General features: G+C 43.1%; 1 protein-coding gene and 1 pseudogene across 8 annotated transcripts in view, besides 1 other annotated feature; both read left to right on the top strand.

Moving 5' to 3' along the window:
* NUP210L (nucleoporin 210 like) overlaps positions 1–25,974 on the top strand; it is a 162,427-nt gene that overhangs the window by 112,164 nt on the left and 24,289 nt on the right. For 7 of the 8 annotated variants that reach the window (XM_011510122.2, NM_001159484.1, XM_017002788.3 and 4 more), the window contains 6 exons: positions 12,899–13,057; positions 15,356–15,447; positions 17,237–17,411; positions 19,656–19,831; positions 20,610–20,827; positions 23,884–24,020. In XM_011510122.2, coding sequence (XP_011508424.1) covers positions 12,899–13,057; positions 15,356–15,447; positions 17,237–17,411; positions 19,656–19,831; positions 20,610–20,827; positions 23,884–24,020 — 957 coding nt within the window. The remainder of the gene's footprint in view (positions 1–12,898; positions 13,058–15,355; positions 15,448–17,236; positions 17,412–19,655; positions 19,832–20,609; positions 20,828–23,883; positions 24,021–25,974) is intronic. The other variant, XM_011510123.2, reaches the window with a different exon arrangement.
* RNU6-179P (RNA, U6 small nuclear 179, pseudogene) lies at positions 2,931–3,037 on the top strand (annotated as a pseudogene).
* Positions 4,541–4,762: a silencer, noted in NCBI's record as "fragment chr1:154010667-154010888 (GRCh37/hg19 assembly coordinates)". NCBI's record gives its function as "represses an EF-1alpha promoter that drives an FKBP-Casp9 reporter gene in an ReSE screen in K562 erythroleukemia cells {active_cell/tissue: K562}" and the evidence as "EXISTENCE:reporter gene assay evidence [ECO:0000049][PMID:32094911]".

Raw genomic sequence — 25,974 nt, 5'->3', positions numbered from 1 at the left:
GTCACTTGAGCCCAGGAGTTCAAGACCAGCCTGAGCAACATGGCGAAACCCCGTCTCTACCAAAAATACAAAAATTAGCTGGGCATAGTGGCATGCACCTGTAATCCCAGCTACTCAGGAGGCTGAGGCAAGAGGATTCCTTGAACCCAAGAGGCAGTGAGCCGAGATTGCACCACTGGACTCCAGCCTGGGCAACAGAGTGAGACCTTGTCTCAAGAAAAAAAAGGCCAGGCGCGGTGGCTCACGCCTGTAATCCCAGCACTTTGGGAGGCCGAGGCAGGTGGATCAGGAGGTCAGGAGATCAAGACCATCCTGGCTAACATGGTGAAACCCCGTCTCTACTAAAAAATACAAAAACATTGGCCGGGCATGGTGGCGGGCACCTGTAATCCCAGCTACTGAGGAGGCTGAGGCAGGATAATGGCATGAACCCAGGAGGCGGAGCTTGCAGGGAGGCGAGATTGCGCCACTGCACTCCAGCCTGGGCGACAGAGCAAGACTCCGTCTCAACAACAACAACAACAACAACAACAACAAAAAGGCCTTCATGGGCTGGGTGCGGCGGCTCACAGCTATAATCCCAGCACTTTGGGAGGCCAAGGTGAGTGGATCGCATGAGCTCAGGAGTTCAAGACCAGCCTGGGCAACAGAGTGAAACCCTGTCTCTACAAAAAACACACATGAGATTAGCCAGGCATAGTGGCATGCACCTGTAGTCCCAGCTTCTAGGGAGGTTGAGGTGGGAGAATCACCTGAGCCCGGGAGGTGAAGGCTGCAGTGAGCTGTGATCGCACCACTCCACTCCAGCCTGGGTAACAGAGTGAGACCCTGTCTCAGAAAAAAAAAAAGAGAGAGAGAGAGAGGGAAAGGCCTTCTTGCTCCAATGGGTAGATTTCCTACACTGTGGAAATGCCAACATTGAGAGGTTCATTTGGATTAAACAATTATAAACCACTCATTTTTTAGCATGAGACTCTTCCAGATAACTGATTGAAATCTGCACAAAGGAAATGGGATTTTTTTGTGTGTGTAGGGGACTGGGGAAAGGTGATTTTGGAACATGGGACTTTGTCGTAATTCTAGAGCACTAGAAGGAAAGTTTTGAGGGTTGTGAACAGCAAGAAGGCAGGGAACACAGGACCTGAAATGCCTACTTCAATATTTGCCTTAGTGGTGGTCCTGCCTTCCCTATTATCAGAAGTCTATCAAGTTCTAATCCTCGCTATCCAGTCTAGCCTGTAATGATAAGAGAGGCAAGTGGGAAGATGGTCAGCCAGTTTTTTTTTCTTTTCTTTTCTTTTTTTTTTTCTCTAGTTTTCATTTAATGTATTTCTGTGTGGGCTGGGCGCAGTGGTTCACACCTGGAGGCCGAGGCAGGTGGATCACTTGAGGTCAGGAATTCTAGACCAGCCTGGCCAACATGGTGAAACGCCGTCTCTACTACAAATAAAAAAATTAACCAGGTGCGGTGGCACATGCTTGTAATTCCAGCTACTCAGGTGGCTGAGGCATGAGAATCACTTGAACTTGGTAGACAGAGGTTGTAGTGGGCTGAGATTGCACCACTGTACTCCAGCCTGAGTGACAGAGACTCTGTCACACAAAATAAATAAATAAATACATAAATACATAAACAAACAAAATTGGTTCAGACAGTAGAAACTGGGATAGGAGAGAAGTAGGGCAAAGGCCAGGCTCGGTGGCTCACGCCTGTTACCCCAGCATTTTGGGAGGCTGAGGTGAGAGGATCACTTGAGCCCACGAGTTTGAGACCAGCCTGGATAACATAATGAGACCCCATCTGTTAAAAAAGTTTTAAAATTAGGTAGGTGTGGTGGCACACACCTGTAGTCTCAGCTACTTGGGACACTGAGGCAGGAGGATCACTTGAGCCCAGGAGGTTGAGTTTGCAGTAAGCTGCGTTTGCACCACGGCACTCCAGCCTGGAAGACAAAGTGAGACCCTGTCTCTCAAAAAAAGGCACAAAAAGGAAACTGCTTCCACCATTTCCATTCTTCTTTCATAAAAAAATTTGACTTTGAGGTAACATAAGAAAGAATCTGGCTGGGCGCGGTGGCTCACGCCTGTAATCCCAGCACTTTGGGAGGCCGAGGCGGGCGGATCACGAGGTCAGGAGATCAAGACCATCTTGGCTAACATGGTGAAACCCCACCTCTAGTAAAAACAATAAAAAAAAATTTAGCCGGGAATGGTGGCGGGCGCCTGTAGTCCCAGCTACTTGGGAGGCTGAGGCGGGAGAATGGCGTGAACCTGGGAGGCAGAGCTTGCAGTGAGCCAAGATCACGCCACTGCACTCCAGCCTGGGCGACAGAGTGAGACTCCATCTCAAAAAAAAAAAAAGAAAGAAAGAATCTTAGGGAGGCTTGCCAGAATTAATTGAACACTACAAACAGAGGTTACTTTAGGGGTAATTATGCTGCTGGGACTATGAAAAGAAATCACTACGAAAACAATCTCTTGTACACTATTTCTCCTCCTCCTTCTCTTCTGCTCCTCCTCCTTCTTCTTCCTTCTTTCTCCTTTATTCTTTCTTTTTTCTTCTTTTCTTCTTTTTTTTTTGATACAAGGTCTTATTATATTGCCCAGGATGATCTCAAACTTCTAGGCTCAAGCGATCCTCCTGCCTCAGCATCACAAGCAGCTGGGATTACAGGGTGTACCACTACACCCAGCTCCTCTAGTTCTTTTAGAAAGCTATTTCCAACATACATTTTCCTTATTGTTACAACAAACAAGGAAAGATTAGCCAGGCATCATGGCACATGCCTGTTGTTCCAGCTACTTGGGAAGCTAAGGCAGGAGGATCATTTGAGACTAGGAGTTCCAGGCTGCAGTGACCTATGACTGTACCACTGCACTTCAGCCTGAGTGATAGATAGAGCGAGATCCCGTTTCTAAAAAAAATAGTAGTGCTCACTTTGGCAACATACCTACTAAAATTGGAATGATACAGAGAAGATTAGCATGTCCCTTGCGCAAGGATGACCTGCAAATTCGTTAAGTGTTCTATTTAAGAGGTAGAGATAGAGAAATCAGGGTAGAAAGTTTATTCAAAGGGATAATAACAGAGAACTTCCCAAACCTAGAGAAAGATATCAATATTCCAATGTAAGAAGGTTATAGAACACCAAGCAGATTTAACCCAAGTAAGGCTACCTCAAGACATTCAATAATCAAACTCCCAAAGGTCAAGTATAAAGAAAGGATCCTAAAGCAGAAGAAAAGAAACAATATACAAAGGAGCTCAAATATGTCTGGCAGATGACTTCTCAGTGGGAATCTGATAGGCCAAGAGAGAGTGGCATGACATATTTAAAGTGCTGAAGGAAAAAACTTTTATTCTAGAATAGTATATCCAGTGAAGTTATCCTTCAAAGGAGAAATAAAGAGTTTCCAGGCCAGGTGCGGTGGCTCACGCCTGTAATCCCAGCACTTTGGGAGGCCGAGGCAGGTGGATTGTCTGAGGTCAGGAGTTCGAGACCAGCCTAGCCAACATGGTGAAACCCCCCGTCTCTACTAAAACTACAAAAATTAGCTGGGTGTGGTGGCAGGCACCTGTAATCCCAGCTAGTCAGGAGGCTGAGGCAGGAGAATCGCTTGAACTCGGGAGGCGGAGGTTGTAGTGAGCTGAGATCACACTATTGCACTCCAGCCTGGGCAACAGGGCAAGACTCCATCTAAAAAAAAAAAAAAAAAGTTTCCCAGAAAAACAAAAGCTGAGGGATTTCATCAATACCAGACCTGTCCTACAAGAAATGCTAGTGGGAATACTACAATCTGAAAGAAAAGGACATTAATGGGCAGTAAGAAATCATCTGAAGATACAAAACTCACTGGTAATAGTAAGTACACAGAAAACCACAGAATATTATAACGCTGTAATTGTGGTGTATAAACTACTCGTATCTTGAGTAGAAAGACTAAAAGATGAACCTACTAAAAATAACTACAAATTTTCAAGACAAAGACAATATAATAAGATATAATAGAAATGACAAAAAGTTAAAAAACAGGAGAGATAAAGTGCAGAGTTTTTATTAGTTTTCCCTTTCCTGTTTGTTAGTTTGTGTGTTTACGCAACCAGTGTTAAGTGTCATCAGTTTAAAGTAACAGGTTATAAGATGTTATTTGCAAGCATTATTGTAACCTCAAATCAAAAAAACCTACAACAAGCCAGGCACGTTGGCTCACACCTATAATCCCAGCACTTTGGGAGGTTGAGGCAGGTGGATTGCTTGAGCTCAGGAGTTCAAGTCCAGGCTAGGCAACATGAAAAAACCCTGTGTCTGCTGGGCATGGTGGCTTACGCCTGTAACCCTAGTACTTTGGGAGGCCAAGGCAGGCAGGTCACCTGAGGTCAGGAGTTTGAGACCAGCCTGACCAACATGGTGAAACCCCGTCTCTACTAAAAAAATACAAAAATTAGCCAGGCATGGTGGTGCATTCCTGTAATCCCAGCTACTTAGGAGGCTGAGGCAGGAGAATCGCTTGAACCTGGGAGGCAGAGGTTGCAGTGAGCTGAAATTGTGCCATTGCATTCTGGCCTGGGCAACAAAAGCGAAACTCCATCTCAAAAATAAAAAAAAAAAAAAAAGAAAAAGAAAAAACCCTGTCTCTACAAAAATACAAAAATTGACTGGGCATGGTGGTGTGCACTTCTAGTCCCAGCTACTCAGGAGGCTGAGGTGGGAGGATCTCTTGAGCCTGGGAGGCAGAAGTCACAGTGAGCCCAGATTGCACCACTGTAATCCAACCTGGGCAACATAGCAAGACCCTGTCTCAAAAGATAAAATAAACCAAAACAGATAAACAAAAATAAAATGCAAGAAATTAAAACATACCACTGGAGAAAATCACCTTCACAAAAAGGAAAACAGGAAGGAAGGAAAGAAGGAAGAGAAGACCACAAAACAACCAGAAAACGAATAACAAAATGGCAGGAAAAGTTCTTATTTATCAATAATAACATTGCATGTAAATGGACTAAATGCTCCAATTTAAAAGACATAGAGTGGCTGGGCATGGTGGCTCATGCCTGTAATCCCAGCACTTTGGGAAGGCCGAGTTGGGTGGATCACTTGAGGCCAGGAGTTCGAGACAAGCCTTGCCAACATGGTGAAACCCTGTCTTCACTAAAAATACAACAATTAGCTGGAAATCGCTTGAACCCAGGAGGTGGAGGCTGCAGTGAGCTGAGATCACGCCACTGCACTCCAGCCTGGGCGAGGAGCAAGTCTCCATCTCAAAAAATAAAATAAAATAAAATAAAATAAAAGACATAGAGTGGCTGAAAGGATTTAAAAAATAAATAAATAAGATCCAACAATCTGTTGCCTACAATAAACACACTTCACCTATAAAGACACACATAGACTGAAAATAAAGAGATGGAAAAAGATATTTCATGTTAATGGGCACCAAAAAAGAGCAGGAATGGTTATATTTACATTAGACAAAATAGATTTCAAGACAAAAACTATAGAAAGAGATGAAGGTCATTATATAATGATAAAGGGGTCAATTCAGCAAGAGGACATAACAATTATAAATATATATGCACCCAATACTGGAGTACCCAGATATATAAAGCAAATAATATTAGAGTTTAAGAGAGAGGCAGACCCCACAACATTAACTGGAGACTTCAATAACCCACTTTCAGCATTGGACAGGTCATCCAGACAGAAAATCAACAAAGAAACTTCGGACTTACTCTGCACTATAGACCAAATGGATCTAATAGATATTTACAGAACTTCTATTCAACAGCTGCAGAATACACATTCATCTACTCAGCACGTGGCTCATTCTCAAGAATAGACAATATGACAGGCCACAAAACAAGTTTTTAAAAATTAAAAAAATTTTGGCCAGTCATTGTGGCTCTTGCTTGTAATTCCCAGCACTTTGGGAGGCCAGGGTGGGCAGATTGTTTGAGCTCAGTAGTTTGAGACCAGCCTGGGCAACATGTCAAAACCGCATTTCTTCAAAAAGTACAAAAATTAGCTGGGTGTGGTGGCATGCACCTGTAGTCCAAGCTACTCAGGAGGCTGAGGTGGGAGGATGGCTTGACCCCAAGAGGCAGAGGTTGTTGCAGTGAGCCAAGATTGCACCACTGCACTCTAGCGTAGGTGACAGAGTGAGACCCTGTCTCAAAAGAAAAAAAAAGTCCAAAAAATTCAAGCCAGCAGTGAGCTATAATGGTGCCCCTGCACTCCAGCCTGAGCAACAAAGCGAGACCCTGTCTCTTAAAAATATGTATGTTCTGGCTGGGCACGGTAGCTCATGCCTGTAATCCCAGCACTTTGGGAGGCCAAGGTGGGTGGATCACTTGAGGTCAGGAGTTTGAGACCAGCTTGGCCAACATGGTGAAACCCCATCTCTACTAAAAATACAAAAATTAGCTGGGCACGGTGGTGGGCACCTGTAATCCCAGCTACTCAGGAGGCTGAGGTAGGAGACTTGCTTGAATCCAGGAAGCAGAGGTTGCAGTGAGCCAAGATCACACCATTGCACTCCAGCCTGGGCAACAAGAGTGAAACTCCAAAAAAAAAAAAAAAAAAAAGTTATACACACACACACACACACACACACACACACACACACACACACACACATGTTCCAACTGTCCTATACATTAAATAAATAAATTTTTTAATTAATTAAAAACACTGAAATTATATCAAGTGTTTTTTCTGACCACAATGGAATAAAACTAGAAATTAGTAACGAGGAATTTTGGAAACTATACAAACACAGGGTAATTAAACAATATGCTCCTGAATGACCAGTGGGTCAATGAATAAATTAAGAATTTAAATTTCTTGAAACAAATGAAAATGGAAACACAACAAAACCTATGAGATACAGTGAAAGCAGTACTAAGAAAAAAGTTCATAGGCCAGGCGCGGTGGCTCACGCCTGTAATCCCAGCACTTTGGGAGGCCGAGGCCGGTGGATCACGAGGTCAGGAGTTCAAGACCAGCCTGGCCAAGATGGTGAAACCCTGTCTCTACTAAAAATACAAAAAATTAGCCAGGCGCGGTGGCAGGTACCTGTAATCTCAGCTACTTGGAAGGCTGAGGCAGGAGAATTGCTTGAACTTGAAAGGCGGAGGTTGCAATGAGCCGAGATCATGCCACTGCACTCCAGCCTGGGTGACAAAGTAAGACTCCATCCCCCCAAAAAAGAAAAAAGAAAGAAAAAAGTTGATACCAAAGAGTGCCTACATCAAAAAAAAGTAGAGGCCGGTCACCTGTAATCCCAGCACTTTAGGAGGCCCAGGTGGGCAGATCACTTGAAGTCAGGAGTTCGAGACCAGTGTGGCCAACATGGTGAAACCCCGTCTCCACTAAAAATACAAAAAATTAGCTGGGCGTGGTGGCAAGTGCCCGTAATCCCAGACACTCGGCAGGCTGAGGCAGGAGAATCGCTTGAACCCGGGAGGTGGAGGTTGCAGTGATCCAAGATCGCGCCATTGCACTCCAGCCTGGGCAGCAAGAGTGAAACTCCATCTCAAAAAAAAAAAAGTAGAAAAAATTAAAATAAAAAGCCTAATGAAGCATCTTAAAGAACGAGAAAAGCAAGAGCAAACCATACCCAGAATTAGTAGAGGAAAAGAAATAATAAATATCAGAACAAATAAATGAAATTGAAATGAAAAAGAATACAAAAGATCAACAAAACAAAAAGTCATTTTTTAAAAAGATAAACAAAATTGACAAACCTTTAGACAGACTAAGAAAAAGAGAAGACCAAAATAAATAAAATCAGCGGTGGAAAAAGAGACATTGGCTGGGCGTGGTGGCTCACGCCTGTAATCCCAGCACTTTGGGAGGCCGAGGCAGGTAGATCACAAGGTCAGGAGTTTGAGACCAGCCTGACCAACATGGTGAAACCCCGTCTCTACTAAAAATACAAAAATTAGCCAGGCATGGTGGTACACACCTGTAATCCTAGCTACTCAGGAGGCTGAGGCAGGAGAATCACTTGAACCTGGGAGGCAGAGGTTGCAATGAGTCAAGATTGTGCCACTGCACTCCAGCCTGGGCAACAGAGCAAGATTCCATCTCAAAAAAAAAAAAAAAAGAGAGAGAGAGAGAGACATTACAACCAATACCACAGAAATTCAAAGGATCATTAAGGCTGCTATGAGCCAATAAATTGGAAAACCTAGAAGAAATAGATAAATTCCTAGATACATACAATCTACCAAGATTTAACCATGAAGAAATCCAAAACCTGAACAGACCAATAACAAGTAATGAGATCAACACCATGATGAAAAGTCTCCCAGCAAAGCAGTCTGGGCACAGTGGCTCACTCCTGTAATCCCAGCACTTTGGGAGGCCAAGGCAGGTGGATCACTTGAGGTCAGGAGTTCCAGACCAGCCTGGCCAACATGAAGAAACCCCATCTCTACGAAAAATACAAAAATTAGCTGGGCATGGTGGTGGGCACCTCTAATTCCAGCTACTCGGGAGGCTGAAGCAGGAGAATCACTTGAACCAGGAGGCAGAGGTTGCAGTGAGCCAAGATCATGCCACTGCACTCCAGCCTGGGTGACAGAGTGAGACTCCATCTCAAAAAAAGAAAAAAGTCTCCTACCAAGGCAAAGCCCAGGACCTAATGGTCTCATTGCTGTATTTTACCAAACATTTAAAGGAGAACTAATACCAATCCTACTCAAACTATTCTGAAAAATAGAGGAGGAGAGAGTACAACTAAACTCATTCTATGAGGCCAGTATTACCCTGATAACAAAAACAGGCAAAGACCTATCAAAAAAAGAAAACTAAAGGCTAAGATCTCTGATGAACATTGATGCAAAAACCCTCATGAAAATACTAGCAAACTGAATTTAACAACACATTAAAAAGATTATTCATGGCCAGGCATGAAAATTGCTTGAACCCAGGAGGCAGAGGTTGCAGTGAGCTGAGATCATGCCATTGAACTCCAGCATGGGGGACAGAGCTAGACACCATCTCAAAAAAATAAATAAATAAAATAAATGAAGAAGACACACAAAAAATGGAAAGATATCCCATGTTCATGGATTGGAAGAATCAATATTGTTAAAATACCCATACTACTCAGAGTAATCTACAGATTCAGTGCAGTCCCTATCAAAATACCAGTGACATTCTTCACAGAAATAGAAAAAATAATTGTAAAAGTTATATGGAACCACAAAAGACACAGAATAGTCAAAGCCGTCCTCAGCAAAAAGAATAAAACTGGAAGACTCATATTACCTGACTTCAAATTATATGACAGAGCTATAGTAACCAAAACAGCAATGACACTTGCATAAAAACAAACATATAGACCAATGGAACAGAATAGAGAACCCAGAAACAAATTCATACACCTGCAGGAAACTCACTTTTAACAAAGGTGCCAAGAATACACATTGCGGAAAAAACAGTCTCTTCAGTCAGTGGTGCTGGGAAAACTGGATATCCATATGCAGAAGAATGAAACTACACCCCATCTCTCGCCATATGCAAAAATCAAATCAAAATGTATTAAAGACTTAAATCTGAGACCTCAAAGTATGAAAATATTACAAGAAAACATTGGGGAAACTCTCCAGAACACTGGACTGGGCAAAGATTTCTTGAGTAATACCCCACAAACATGGGCAACCAAAACAAAAATTGACAAATGGGATCATATAAAATTAAAAAGCTTCTGCACAGCAAAAGAAACAATCAGCCAAGTGAAGAGACAACCCACAGAATGGGAGAAAATACTTGCAAACTATCCATCTAACAAAGGATTAACATCTATTATATAAGCAGCTCAAACAACTCAACAGGAAAAAAATGTAACAATCAGATTTTAAAATGGGCAAAAGATTGGAATAGATATTTCCTTCCTTCCCTTCCCTTCCTTCCTTCCTTCTTTTTCTTTCTTTCTTTTTTTCTTTCTTTCTTTTCTTTTCTTTTCTTTTCTTTTCTTTTCTTTTCTTTTCTTCTTTCTTTCTTTTGAGATGTAGTCTTGCTCTGTCGCCCAGGCTGGAGTGCAGTGGCGCAATCTGGAGTGCAGTGGTGTGATCTCGCCTCACTGCAAGCTCCACCTCCCAGGTTCACACCATTCTCCTGTCCCAGCCTCTGGAGTAGCTGGGACTACAGGCACATGCCACCACACCTGGCTAATTTTTGTATTTTTTGTAGAGACAGGATTTTGCCATGTTGGCCAGGCTGGTCTCGAACTCCTAACCTCAGGTGATCCACCTGCCTCGGCCTCCCAAAGTGCTGGGATTACAGGCATGAGCCACCACACCTGGCCTGTATGTCTCAGGAGGCTGAGGCAGGAGAGTCGTTTGAACCTGGGAGGCAGAGGTTGCAGTGAGCCAAGATCACACCACTGCACTCCAGCCTGGGTGACAGAGGGAGACTGTGTTCCACCCCTACCAAAAAAAAAAAAGTCATACAAATGGCAAACAGGTATATGAAAAGGTGCTCAACATCATTGATCATCAGAGAAATGCAAATCAAAACTACAGTGAGATATCTCACCCCAGTTAAAATGGCTTATATCTGAAAGACAGGCAACAATGAATCCTGGCAAGGATGTAGAGAAAAGGGAACCCTCATATACTGTTGATGGGAATGTAAATTAGTACAATCACTATGGAGCATAGTTCGGAGGTTTTCAAAAAACTAAATATAAAACTACCATATGATCCCAACAATCCCACTGCTAGACATATACCCAAAAGAAAGGAAATCATTATATCAAGGAGGTATCTGCTCTCTCATATTTATTGCAGCACTATTCACAATGGCCAAGATTTGGAAGCAACTTAAGTGTCCATCAACAGATGAATGGATAAAGAAAATGAGGTGTATATACACAATGGAGTACAACTTAGCCATAAAAAAGGAATGAGATGGCTGGGCGCCGTAACTCACACCTGTAATCCCAGCACTTTGGAAGGCCAAGGTGGGAGGAGGGCTTGAGCCCAGGAGTTTGTGGCCAACCTAGGCAACATAGTGAGACTCGGTCTCTACAAAAAAAAAAATTTTTTTTAATTTAGCCAGGCGCAGTGGTGCATGCCTGTAGTCCCTGCTACTTGAGAGGCTGAGGCAGGAGAAACACTTGAGCCCTGGTGACTGAGGTGGCAATGAGCCATGATTGTGCCACTATACTCACTCAACCTGGGCAACAGAACGAAACCCTGTCTTAAAAAAAAAAAAAAAGGAATGTGATCCTGTCATGTGCAACAACATGGATGATGGAATTGGAGACACTATGTTAAGTGAAATAAGCCAAGTATAGATAGACAAACTTCGCATGTTCTCACTTATTTGTGGGAGCTAAAAATGAAAACAATTGAACTCATGGAGACAGAGTAGAATGATGGTTACTGGAGGCTGGAAAGCGTAGTGGGTGGGTGGGAGGGAAGTGGGGATGCTTAATTAGTACAAAAATATAGTTAGATTAAATGATTAAATGAATAAGATCTAGTATATGATAGCACAACAGGGTGAATACAGTCAACAATAACTTATTGTATATTTTAAAATAACTAGGCCAGGTGCAATGGCTCACACCTGTAATTCCAGCACTTTGGGAGGCCAAGGTGGGTGGATCATCTGAGGTCAGGAGTTCGAGACCAGCCTAGCCAACATGGTGAAACCCTGTCTCTACTAAAAATACAAAAATTAGTCGGGCATAGTGGCAGGCGCCTGTAATCCCAGCTATTTGGGGGACTGAGACAGGGAGAATTGCTTGAACCCAGGAGGCGGAGGTTGCAGTGAGCTGAAATCATGCCATTGCACTCCAAACTGGTCAACAGAACAAGACTCCATCTCAAAATAAACTAAAATAACTAAGAGAGTATAATTGTGTCTGTAACAGAAAGGATAAATGCAGCTGGGCACAGTGGCTCACGCCTGTAATTGCAACACTTTAGGAGACTGAGGCAGGAGGATCACTTGAGCCCAGGAGTTTGAGACCAGCCTGGGCAACGTAGGGAGACCCTGTTTTTAGAAAAAAGAATTTTTTTTAAATTAGCTGGACTAATTGGCACATGGTGGCACATGCTTGTGGTCCCGGCTACTTGAGAGGCTGAGGTGGGAGGATTGCTTGAGCTCAGGAGGTCAAGGCCACAGGAAGCCATGATTTCACCACTGCACTCCAGCCTTGGCAACAGGACAAGACCCTGTCTCAAAAAAAAACCAAAAAAGGTTTCAACTTAAAGTGTGCTTGAGGTGATGCATACCCCACTTACCCTGATGTGATTATTACAGGTTCTATGCCTGTATCAAAGTATCTCATGTACCCCATAAATATGTATACCTACAACGTAGCCACAAAGATTAAAAATAAAAACAAAAAATTAACTGTAATCCCAGCACTTTGAGAGGCTGAGGTGGGCAGATCGCTTGAGGCCACGAGTTCAAGACCAGCCTGAGCAACATGGCGAAACCCCATGTCTACAAAAAAGACAAAAATTAGCTGAGTGTGGTGGTGTGCCCCTGTAGTCCCAGCTACTAGGGAGAGTGAGGTGGGAGGATCACTGGAGCCCGGGAGGTCGAGGCTGCAGTGAGCTGAGATTGTTCCACTGCACTCCAGGCTGAGTGAATTTTTAATTTTAATTTTTTCATAAGTTATTGGGGTACAGGTGGTATTTGGTTACATGAGTAAGCCCTTTAGTGGTGATTTGTGAGATTTTGGTGCACCCATCACCCAAGCAGTATACACTGCTCCCTATTTGTAGTCTTCTATCCCTCGCCCCCTCCCACCCTTTCCTGACTTTTTATTTTTAATTTAAAAAAAAATTTAATATTAAAAAAGTGAAAAAAAAAGGAAGGACACCATGTTTATTGATGAATATTTCTTAATCTATCCCTTCACTGTCTAGGTTTTTCTACAGCTCCCAGTAGAGCATAACTTTGCCATGGTTGTCCATACAAAAGCAGCAGGCAGGACCAGTATCAAGGTCACTGTTCACTGCATGAACAGTTCCTCTGGGCAGTTTGAGGGGAATTTGTTGGAACTCTCTGATGAAGTACAGATCCTGGTAAGCTTCCAAATCTAAATCTTATTTTCGTATATTAAGGATAAGAAAGTTATATTCTCTTACCATCAACAAAGAGCTTAGTCTGGATAGAGACAGATAATTGTTAGAGCGATTCCTGGAACAGGTTTGTACTTCCTAGATCTTTATAATTCCTGCTAATTGCTTGTATATAGTTTTGTTTTTTGTTTTTGTTTTGTTTTGTTTTGAGACGGAGTTTCGCTCTTGTTGCCAAGGCTGGAGTGCAATGGCACAATCTCGGCTCACCACAACCTCCATCTCCTGCGTTCAAGTAATTCTCCTGCCTCAGCCTCCCGAGTAGCATGTGCCACCAAGCCCAGCTAATTTTGTAATTTTAGTAGAGACGGGGTTTCTCCATGTTGGTCAGGCTGGTCTGAAACTCCTGACCTCAAGTGATCCTCCTGCCTCGGCCTCCCAAAGTGCTGGGATTACAGGCGTGAGCCACTGTGCCTGGCCTGTTTTTTGTTTTTTTGTGGTTTTTTTTTTTTTTTTTTTTTTTTTTGAGACAGTCTTGCTCTGTTGCCCAGGCTGGAGTGCAGTGGTGTGATCTTGGCTCACTGCAAGCTCCTCCTCCCAGGTTCACACCATTCTCCTGCCTCATTCTCCCAAGTAGCTGGGACTACAGGTGCCTGCCACCATGCCCGGCTAATTTTTTGTATTTTTAGTAGAGACAGGGTTTCACTGTGTTAGCCAGGATGGTCTCGATCTCCTGACCTCGTGATCTGCCCGCCTCAGCCTCCCAAAGTGCTGGGATTACAGGTGTGAGCCACCATGCCTGGCTTGTTTTTTGTTTTTGAGACAGAGTCTCACTCTGTCACCCAGGCTGGAGTGCAGTGGCACAATCTCCACTCACTGCAGCGTTCAGGTAATTCTCCCTGCCTCAGCCTCCCGAGTAGCTGGGATTACAGGCGTGCACCACCATGCCCGGCTAATTTTTGTATTTTTAGTAGAGACGGGGTTTCGCCACGTTGTCCAGGCTGGTCTCAAACTCCTAACCTCAAGTGATCCACCCGCCTTGGCCTCCCAAAGTGCTAGGATTACAGACGTGAGCTACCACGCCCGGCTGCTTTTATATACTATTAACATTAGAAACTATTAGTACTTGCAGGTGAGTAGTCTGGAAAAAAAAAGAAAAGAAACTGTAGCACACACACTCCCTTCAACTCCCCATATCAGGAACACAGGATATGAACACCATAGTAACTAGAGAGGGATTCATTTCTGATCCACTCCACCTGACATAGATATTATAAGTCCATTAACAATTTTTATTTAATTATTTATTTATTTTGAGACAGAGTTTCACTCTGTTGCTTAGGCTGGAGTGCAGTAGCATGATCTCGCCTCACTGCAACCTCCACCTCCCAAGTACAAGTGATTCTCCTGCCTCAGCCTCCTGAGTACCTGAGATTACAGGCATGCGCCACCATGCCTGGCTACTTTTTGTATTTTTAGTAGAGATGGAGTTTCGTTATGTTGACCAGGCTGGTCTCAAACTCCTAACCTCAGGTAATCTGCCCGTCTTGGTCTCCCAAAGTGCTGGGATTACAGGTATGAGCCACCGCGTCCAGCCGATATAAGTCCATTTAAATATATTCACAGTTAGGATAAAACATAATTCTAACTTTTGATAAGGTGTAAGAGTATGAATAGTTTCTACAGATATTCTTGGGCTAAAAGCTAAATGGCTCTGTTGTTTTTAGAATTCAAAAAACAAATTATCACTTATATGGGTCGAGTAAGTTTCACTGCCTCTGATTTTGAGACTTTTTTTTTCTTTTCCTGTTTTATTTTTTCCTTTATTTTGGCTTTGGTTCTCTGATTCCATGTGAAGTAGAGGAAGGAGCACTTTACTAGAAGGTGGAAGACCTGGATGTTATTTCATGCTAATTTAATATTATAAGTTCTTTTCCCCAAACTTCATGTCATTTTACCAGAGCCAAAATTAGAAATTTCAAAGTATTTTTATACCTAATATCTAAGCAATATGGAAGATGTGGTAAGTGTAAACTTTGCTACATGCTGAGTCCCTCAGAGTCAGAAACAGGGCTAACATTAGGTTATATCTTCTAGAATATCTAGTTACGTTTTGAGTGCCTGGTTCATTTTGGAGAGGAGTATTGTGGACGATTTTAGACTAATTAGAAGTTAGGCAGACTGTTGATTCGTAGTTGTCATTTATTTGCATGTAATCTCTTCGGGATTATACTGAAGTCTATATGTAAGTAAAAGTCATAATTTGTCTTTGCCAAAAATGAGGAAAACATTTTCTCATTATAGGTGTTTGAAAAACTCCAACTCTTCTATCCAGAGTGCCAACCAGAGCAGATTCTGATGCCTATAAATTCTCAGCTCAAACTCCATACCAACAGGTAAGGAAAAGGGAGAATAAGGAAGTGCCAGGATCTAAGCTTAAGTATTTTCAGTAAAACATTGACATAGAAAGAACACTTTTGCCTTCTAGGAGATTTTTCCCAAATAATTTTTTGTGTGAGGTGAAATTCCCATAATGTAAAACTATTGTAAAGTGTAAAATTCAGTGGCATTTAGTACATTCACAATATTGTGTATTCAGCATCTCTATCTAGTTCCAAATATTTTTATCACCACCAAAGGAGATCCCATACCTGTGAAGCAGTCACTCTTCTTTCTTTCCTCCTCGCAGCCCCTGGCAATCACTAATCTGCTTTCTGTGTACGGTATTAGCTATCCTGAATGTATTTCATATAAATGGAATCATACAGTATGCAACGTTTTGTGTTTTTTGTTTTTTTTTTTTTGTTTTTTTTTTTTTTTTGAGACAGTCTCGCTCTGTTGCCCAGGCCAGCGCACAGTGGCACAATCTCAGCTCACTGCAACCTCCACCTCCCAGGTTCAGGCAATTCTCCTGCCTCAGCCTCCTGAGTAGCTGGGATTACAGGTGCCTGCCACCACACCTGGCTAATTTTTGTATTTTTAGTAGAGATGGGGTTTCACCATGTTGGCCAGGCTGGTCTTGAACTCCTGACCTCAGGCGATCCTCCCGGCTCGGCCTCCCAAAGTGCTGGGATTATAGGTGTGAGCCACCACGCCCAGCCTTGTGTTGGCTTCTTTAAGTTAGCATAATGTTTTTGAGGTTCATCCATGTTGTAGCATGTATCAGTACTTCTTCCTTTTTATGACTGAATAGTATTCCATTATATGGAAATACCACATTTAGTTTATAATTTCATCTCCTAATAGAAATTTGGGGCTGGGCACAGTGGCTCATGCCTGTAATCCCAGGCCTCTGGGAGGCCAATGCAGGTGGATCACCTGAGGTTGGGAGTTCGAGACCAGTCTGATCAACATGGAGAAACCCCAACTCTACTAAAAATACTAAATTAGCCAGGGGTGGTTGCACATGCCTGTAATCCCAGCTACTCAGGAGGCTGAGGCAGGGGAATCACTTGAACCCGGGAGGCGGAGGCTGCAGTGAGCCAAGATCACGCCATTGAACTCCAGCCTGGGCAACAAAAGCGAAACTCCGTCTCAAAAAAGAAAAGAAATTTGGGTTGTTTTCACCTTTTGGCTATTGTGAATAGTGCTGCTATGAATATTCATTTGCAAGTATTTACCTGAATACCTGCTTTCAATTGTTTTGGCTGAATAATTATTTTTTTGAAACGGAGTTTTGCTCTTGTCCCCCAGGCTGCAGTGCAAATGGTGTCATCTCGGCTCACTGCAACCTCAGCCTCCCAGGTTCAAGCCATTCTCCTGCCTCAGCCTCCCGAGAAGCTGGGATTACAGGCACCCGCCATCATGCCCAGCTAAAAATTTTTTTTTTTTTTGTATTTTTAGTAAAGACGGGGTTTCACCATGTTGGCCAAGCTGGTCTTGAACTCCTGACCTCAGGTGATCCTCCCGCCTTGGCCTCCCACAGTGCTGGGATTACAGACATGAGCCACCACACCCGGCCTAAATAATTCTTTAATTATAAATATGTAATAAGATTTGATTTTAAAGAAATAAGCATAATCCAAAGGCAGACTTTTACCTGAGGAACAAATAATTACACACGTGGAGAATGGCAAGCAGTTTTCTCGAGTACATCCCCTAACAGTAATCCTGGAAATTTTTACTCTTTTCTCTCTGGTCAGACAGGACCCCAAAAAGATGCCACTTCCTTTCCTTGTTCCCTAGGGAAGGAGCTGCCTTCGTGAGTTCTCGTGTTCTCAAGTGTTTCCCTAATTCATCCGTCATTGAGGAGGATGGTGAAGGGCTCCTGAAAGCTGGTTCCATTGCAGGTACTGCTGTATTGGAAGTCACTTCTATAGAACCTTTTGGAGTCAACCAAACAACCATAACTGGGGTCCAGGTGAGTTCATGGACTTACTAAAAAAAACAAATAAATAAAAGTCATACCCTGGCCTTAAAAAGCAGAGTTTCTTTTTTAAAAAACTAGAAATTTTCTTATCATGCCATTAAAGAAAAAAAGAAAAAGAAAAGAATTAGAAACTTCTGTATCATGAGAGAACATGAACCAGAAAAAAAAAAAAAAAAAGGAGAAGAAGAAGAAGAAGAAACTCTCTGGGAGTCAGAAATGAACCTATAAGAGGCCAGTCTTGACATGGTTATAAGCCATAAAATTAAAATGAACTTTAGAGCCCTTGTTATAAAACAGATCAGCCTGGCCGGGCACGGTGGCTCACGCCTGTAATCCCAGCACTTTGGGAGGCTGAGGCAGGCGGATCACGAGGTCAGGAGATCGAGACCATCCTGGCTAACACGGTGAAACCCCTTCTCTACTAAAAATACAAAAAATTAGCTGGGCGAGGTGGCGGGCGCCTGTAGTCCCAGCTACTCAGGAGGCTGAGGCAGGAGAATGCCGTGAACCCCGGGGGGCGGAGCCTGCAGTGAGCCAAGATCACGCCACTGCACTCCAACCTGGGCGACAGCAAGACTCCATCTCAAAAAAAAAAAAAAAAAAAAAAAAACAGATCAGCCTAAATTTATATGATTGTCTTCCTAGCAGCTTTGGCAAAAGGACTGGTATCGGAGGAGTGTAGAATGATTGCTATCAAAATTGGCTGGGCTGGGTGACTCACGCCTGTAAGCCCAGCACTTTGGAAGGCTGAGGCAGGAGAATCACTTGAGGCCAAGAGTTTAAGACCAGCCTGAGCAACATAATGAGACCCCTATCTCTACAAAAAATGAAAAAAAAAAAAAAATAGCCGGGCTTGGTGGCACATGTCTGCAGTCCTAGCTGCTTGGGAGGCTGAGGTGGAGGATCACACGAACCTAGGAGTTCGAGGCTGCTTTGTGCTGCAATTGAACTGCTGCACTGCAGCCTGGAAAACAAAGCAACAATCTGTTTCTTTTTAAAAAATTAAGCTTTGCTACAAGAATTAAAAAATTGAGAAAAGACCTCAGAGATAAGTTAGTCTTAACACGAAAAAAAATTTTAGACATTAAACATCTACTATATACTATGTTCGTCATTGTATGTATATTATCTCTTTTAACTACCACAAAAGCCCTATGAGGTAGGCATTATTATCCCCATCTAACTGTTAACTGATAAGAAACCTGAGACCCAGAAAAGTTACATGAGGCTATGAAATGATAAAGCTATGATTCAAACGCGGGCTTCACTTACTGTATCACAGCTCTCTTACAGTGTGAAAACACAATATAGATTGTGTTCCTGATAAGTAATTGATTATTTAACCATAAATATTGAGCACTCTGCATGAAATGGATGAATTATAGTCCTTTCCTCATAAAGCTCCAGCTTCTCTTCACATTCCCACAGCTTTAAAAATTAAAAACCTGGCTGGGCACAGTGGCTCACGCCAATCCCAGCACTTTGGGAGGCCGAGCCGGGTGGATCACGAGGTCAGGAGTTCAAGACCAACCTGGCCAAGATGGTGAAACCCCCATCTCTACTAAAAATACAAAAAAATTAGCCGGGCATTGTGGCGGGCGCCTGTAATCTCAGCTACTCAGGAGGCTGAGGCAGAGAATTGCTTGAACCCAGGAGGCGGAGGTTGCAGTAAGTTGAGATTGCACCACTGCACTCCAGCCTGGGCGAGACAGCAAAATTCCGTCTCAAAAAAAAAAAAATTAAAAACCCATTTCAAGCCGGGCACAGTGGCTCACGCCTATAATTCCAACACTTTGGGAGGCCAAGGCGGGCAGATCACTTGAGGTCAGGAGTTTGAGACCAGCCTGGCCAACATGGTGAAACCCCATCTCTACTAAGAATAGAAAAATTAACCAGGCGTGGTGGCAGATGCCTGTAATCACAGCTACCTGGGAGGCTGAGGTAGGAGAATTGCTTGAATGCAGGAGGCAGAGGTTGCAGTGAGTCAAAATCATGCCGCTGCACTCCAGCCTGGGTGACAGAGTGAGATTCTGTCTCAAAAAAAAAAGAAAAGAATTTCCTATGCTGCTATGCTGTCATATTTCTTTTCACTCTGACTTAAGTCATCTCACATCAAAAGCTATTTCCTATGGAAAAGAAACATCACTCTTTATCATTGATTATAAGTCTCAGAATATGGTTGCAGCACTTCTCCAGTGCATCTTTCTCTGTACCAGTAGGTTTTGTCTCCCACAGGTAGCACCGGTGACATACCTGCGAGTGAGCAGCCAACCCAAGCTATACACAGCCCAAGGAAGGACCCTGTCAGCATTTCCCTTGGGCATGTCTCTTACCTTCACTGTTCAGTTTTATAATAGTATCGGAGAGAAATTCCACACACACAATACCCAGCTTTATCTGGCTCTGAACAGGTATGGAAGTCAAAGGAATGGTATTGACACTATGGTAGAAATCTTGCATATTAGGCTAGTATTATATAGCAGCTCCAGTAAATTCCTCTCACATTCTGAATTTGGAAGTTGATCTTTCTTTTGTTAAAAAAAATTTTTTTAAGTGAGGCCAGGTGGGTGGCTCACACCTGTAACCTCAGCACTTTGGGAGGCTGAGGAGGGAGGATCACTTGGGCCCAGGAGTTCGAGACCAGCCTGGACAACATGGTGAAACCCCATCTCTACAAAAATACAAAAATTAGCTGGGTGTGGTAGCGTGTGCCTGTAGTCCCAGCTACTAGGGAGGCTGAGGTGGGAGGATCACTTGAGCCCAGGAGGCAGAGGTTGCAGTGAGCAGAGATTGCGCCACTGCACCCCAGCCTGGGTGACCAATTAAGACTGTCTTAAAAAAAAAAAAAAAAAAAAAAGACCAGACTTAGGCAATGGTATTAGTTGTCACTTAAGAAAAAATGCAGGATATCTTAAATCTGTCAAGTTCTAATTCACTAAAAGATCCATAGGGAGCTAACTGGAGTATTATTATCAAAAGGCTTTACTGGAAAAAAAAAAAAGCCTTCCTGGGAACTATACGTATGAAGGTAATAGACTGATCCTTGGCCCATACTTACTTACTCTTTATTGTGGAATTCCTTCTGAACTTCTGAGCTGTTGAATATAAAATGTGGTAGGGTGTTCTCCAGAACTATTTTCTAACTATTGTCTCTTTTTAAAGATTTCTACCTTTAATGTCTACTTGCAGAGATGACTTGCTGCATATTGGACCAGGGAATAAGAACTATACTTACATGGCCCAGGCTGTGAACAGAGGGCTGACACTTGTGGGGCTTTGGGACCGGAGACATCCAGGCATGGCAGATTATATTCCTGTTGCTGTAGAGCATGCCATTGAGCCAGACACCAAGCTTACCTTTGTTGGAGATATCATCTGCTTCAGTACTCACCTTGTCAGCCAGCATGGTATGTATACATTCCCTTTCTCAAACTTACAATTGATAGTTGTGGGGATTAAAAAGCAGTTATTAAAAAAAAAAGCAGTTATTAATCCCTTGGACTGGTATAGTGGTTTATACCCATAATCTCAGCCCTTTGGGAGGCCAAGCTGGAGAGGTCACTTAAGGCCAGAAGTTCAAGAAAGCAATTAATCCCCTAGAATATTTTTTTCCAAATTATCTAAAATCTGAGGGACTCTCTGAGAAAGAAAATAATTTTGAGTATTTTATTATTTGTAATGTTACTGATAATTTTTAGCTTAATGCCTGTTTCACTCAATAGCCAGCCAATTAGAAGCCAGCCAGTAATATTGATCAAGAGTCTATTGGATACATAGCTCTATTTTATATTATGTAGATAGTGCAGGGTACTGTGTCTTCTCCTCCATTCCCAGCTTTTGAAGGAGGGTAATTACTATATTGAAGGACAGTAAAGGATAACAGGAAGGAAAGGGCAATAAGGCTTTAGTTCTAAGAACTAGTTATGTGTATGCTATTTTGTGAGGCACATTTGAAGGCCTAAGTCCTAACATATCATCATTGTAATAAGGTTTTTTCTTTTACCCGGATAAACTATACTTTGTTTTGTTTTTTTTTTTAGAGACAGAGTCTCACTCTGTCATTCAGGCTGGAGGGCAGTGGGCAGTGACATGATCTCTGCTCACTGCAACCTCTGACTCCTGGGTTCAAGCGAGTCTCCTGCCTTAGCCTCCCAAGTAGCTGGGACTACAGGCACACAACACCACGCCTGGCTAATTTTTATATTTTTTATACAAGGGGTTGGCCCCTGGCCAACTATACTCTTGAAAACAAAGCATTTCTGTCCTAAGTACTGAGTTAAAAATAAAATCATAAGCCAGGTGCGGTGGCCCATGCCTGTAATCCCAGCACTTTGGGAGGCTGAGGTGGCGGGATCACGAGGTCAAGAGATCGAGACCATCCTGGCCAACATGGTGAAACCCCATCTCTACTAAAAATACAAAAATTAGCTGTGCATGGTGGCACACGCCTGTAGTCCCAGATACTCGGGAGGCTGAGGCAGGAGAATCGCTTGAACCTGGGAGTTGGAGGTTGCAGTGAGCCGAGATCGTGCCACTGCACTCCAGCCTGGCAACAGAGTGAGACTCCATCTCAAAAAATAAATAAATAAAATAAAATCATAGAAAACATTTGGGAGGCCGAGGCAGGCAGACCACCTGAAGTCAGGAGTTCAAGACCAGCCTGGCCAACATGGTGAAATCCTGTTTCTATTAAAAATACAAAAATTAAGGCCGGGTGTAGTGACTCACGCCTGTAACCCCAGCACTTTGGGAGGCTGAAGCAGGCGGATCACAAGGTCAGGAGTTCAAGACCATCCTGGCCAGCATGGTGAAACCCCGTCTCTACTAAAAATACAAAAATTAGCTGGGCATGGTGGCATGTGCCTGTAGTCCCAGCTACTTGGGAGGCCAAGGCAGGAGAATTGCTTGAACCCAGGAGGCACAGGTTGCAGTGAGCCAAGATCACACCACTGCACTCCAGCCTGGGTGATGGAGCGAGACTCTGTCTCAAAAATAATAATAATAGTAATAATTAAATTATCCCGGTGTAGTGGCATATGCCTCTGGTCCCAACTATTGGGAGGCTGAGGTGGGAAGATTGCATGAGCCCAGGAGATCAAGGCTGCAGTAAGCTATGATCGCACTACTGCACTCCAGCCTGGATGACAGGCTGTGTCTCAAAAAAAAGAAAAGGAAATCATTCTTTGGTTAGGAAATGAGTGTGAATTCTTTGGGTTTCCAAATATCATATCCCAAAGTGGTGTACACTGCCTGGATGTGTACATCCAAGTAAGAACTGCTTGTAGTAATGTATGGTTTTGGCTTTGCAGCCTCTTCTGGTAACTATGGATACATATGTTTAGGTAAAGTGATGTAAATGTTGGACCTGACTTTAACATTAATACGTATTTTGGACCTTGATACAAAGGGGCTCTATACAGCTGAATCCCCCAATGCTATAACAGCTGATTTGCAAACAACCACTACCAACATGCAATCCAGGACCAATGAGCTAAACCTACTTTAAGGTTGGCAATGAGAGTTACAATCCCCTGATTATAAATCCCTTGTCAATGAAGCAGAGTATTTTTTACCCTCTCTTTTTTTGTTTGTTTGTTTGTTTTTTTGAGACAGAGTTTCACTCTTATCACCCAGGCTGGAGTGCAATGGTGTGATCTCGGCTCACTTCAACCTCCACCTTCTGGGTTCAAGTGGTTCTACTGCCTCAGCCTCTCAAGTAGCTGGAACTAGAGGCATGCGCCACCACGCCTGGCTAATTTTTGTATTTTTAGTAGGATGGGGTTTCACCATGTTGGTCAGGCTGGTCTCGAACTCCTGACCTCAGGTGATCCTCCAGCCTCGGCCTCTCAAAGTGCTGGGATTACAGACATGAGCCACCGTGCCCGGCCTATTTTTTATTCTTTTTAGCTATATTTTTGACAGGATTGTCCCATAGTCTTCCAATCTGGAATTTTGGGAGGCTTCATCATGTGATGAAGGAAAGAGCCATATGCCAGGATCAGTAATCCTGCAGGCTAAGTACAAACTCTAACCCAGTATTTGGCATTCCTCGGCCATCTTTAGACTTAAGCCAAAATAAACAAATCCTTTCTCTTGCCATGGTCACTTTTTTGCAGTCTTCTTGCTGTCATCAATCAGTAGCTCAAAGCAAATTTGTCCTTAGTAGCTTCTAAACAAAATTTATTCAGAAAGTTATCCCTGTATGTAAAAAGAGCTTCTCTTTTTCCCAAGGAGAACAGTTACATTCTCCAACTACGTAGCTCTTCTTATGATTCTTTATTTTGCTGGCATGATATACGAAGAGGAACCTGACACTGAGAAAACAGTTATCTTCAAAGCTGGCTGTTTCTCCTGGGAAGAGATATCTGCATGCTTGAAAAATTTACTGATTTGGAGTATGAATAAGTCCAGAGTGATTTATATCAAAGGCTTCAGCCAAGTGTTTTCTCTTGTCTTTTCCTAGGTGAACCTGGGATATGGATGATTTCTGCCAACAATATTCTACAGACAGACATTGTCACTGGAGTAGGAGTGGCCAGGAGTCCGGGGACTGCAATGATTTTTCATGACATCCCAGGAGTAGTGAAAACATATCGAGAGGTAAACATAACTGTATCAGAGTTTAAGAGACTAGGGTGACTATTGCCACATATGAGGATATGCATAGAGAAAATACATCTTAGGAAAGGAAATACACTCATAAAACAGATATAAAGCCAGCCAGCAAACTTTACTGGAACACAAAGCTAAACAGTGTTCAGGATTCTTAACCAGCAGAATGACTACCTGTGTTTTAAGAGATCACAGTGGGTACTGGTTGGCACTAGACACTAGACACCAGGGTAGAAGTTGAAAGACCATTTGGGAGTCTACTGCGGTAATCCAGGTGACATATGTTGGCAGATCAGGGTGGTGACAGAGGAGGTGATAAGAAGTTGATCAGATTCTAGGTATATTTTATAGGTAGAGCCAATAGAGTTTCCTCACAGATTATATCTAGAACATAAGAAAATCCAGAATGATTCAGGTTTTTGGTTGAACAGCTGAAAGGACAGCATTACCGTCAACTGAAATGGGGAAGACTGTAGGTGGAACAGTCTTGGAGGGAAAAGCAGTCATCTTTGGATATGTAAAATTGGGTATGTCTATTAAATGTCAACTGGATATGTTGAGGTTGCTGGATATAAAAGTCTGGGAGTCATTGGAATAGAGATATTTAAGGCCATTAGATCACCAAAGAATGAATGTAAAATAGAAAAAAGGCCAGGCGCGGTGGCTCACATCTGTAATTCCAGCACTTTGGGAAGCCAAAGTGGGAGGATCACCTGAGGTCAGGAGTTCGAGAACAGCCTGGCCAACATGGTGAAACCCCATCACTACTAAAAATACAAAAATTAGCCGGGCCTGGTGGCTCACATCTGTAGTCCCAGCTACTCAGGAGGCTGAAGCACGAGAATCTCTTGAACCTGGGAGGTGGAGGTTGCAGTGAACTGACATCAAGCCACTGTACTCCAGCCTGGGCAACAGAGTGAGAGTCGCTCTCAAAAAAAAGAAAAAAAAAGAGAAAAAAGACCTAAGTACTAAGTTCTGGGAGCACTTCAATCTTAAGAGTTCTGATTGCCTTTTGATTAGTGGCAAATGGAAAAAGAAAGAAACAAAAGGGAAAAAGGGAGCTCTGAGAGAAGAACCAATAAGAAAGACTTATAAGAAACAACCAGGCTTAGTGCCGTGGCTCACGCCTCTAATCCCAGCACCTTGGGAGGCCAAGGCAGGTGGATCACAAGGTCAGAAGTTCGAGACCCAGCCTGACCAACATGGTGAAACCCCGTCTCTACTAAAAATACAAAAATTAGCTGGGCGTGGTGGCACACACCTGTAATCCCAGCTACTCAGGAGGCTGAGGTAGGAGAATCGCTTGAACCCAGGAGGCAGAGGTTGCAGTGAGCCAAGATCACACCACTGCACTCCAGCCGGGGCAACAGAGTAAGACTCTCTCAAAAAAAAAAAAAAAAAGAAAGAAAGAAACAACCAGTGAAATGGGAGGAAAATCTAGAGATATGTGTATCCTGGAAGGCAAATGAAGAAAGTATTTCAAGGAAAGAGGGAGTGATCAACCATCATTACTATTAATGGGTTAAGCTGAAAATTGAGAAATGACTGATGGTTTTTGCAGTATGGAGACTGGTGCTAGTGACTTTGTTGAGTAGCTTCAGCAAAGTGACCTGAGCCCCCCCCTTTTTTTTTTTTTGTTGGAGACAGAATCTTGCTCTATTGCCCAGGCTGGAGAGCAATGGTTTAATCTTGGCTCACTGCAACATCTGCCTCCTGAGTTCAAGCAATTCTCATGCCTCAGCCTCCTGAGTAGCTGGGATTACAGGCACGTGCCACTACCCCCAGCTAATTTTTGTATTTTTAGTAGAGACAGGGTTTCACCATGTTGGCCAGGCTGGTCTCGAACTACTGGCCTCATGTGATCTGCTCGCCTCCGCCTCCCAGATTGCTGGGATTATAGGCATGAGCTGCCACTGCGCCCAGGCTTTTTTGTGCGTGTTTT

Source organism: Homo sapiens, chromosome 1, assembly GCF_000001405.40.
Source record: "Homo sapiens chromosome 1, GRCh38.p14 Primary Assembly".
NCBI classification, from domain to species: domain Eukaryota; kingdom Metazoa; phylum Chordata; class Mammalia; order Primates; family Hominidae; genus Homo; species Homo sapiens.
Note: the sequence above shows the minus strand (reverse complement) of the source record. Positions and strands in the feature narration are given on the sequence as shown.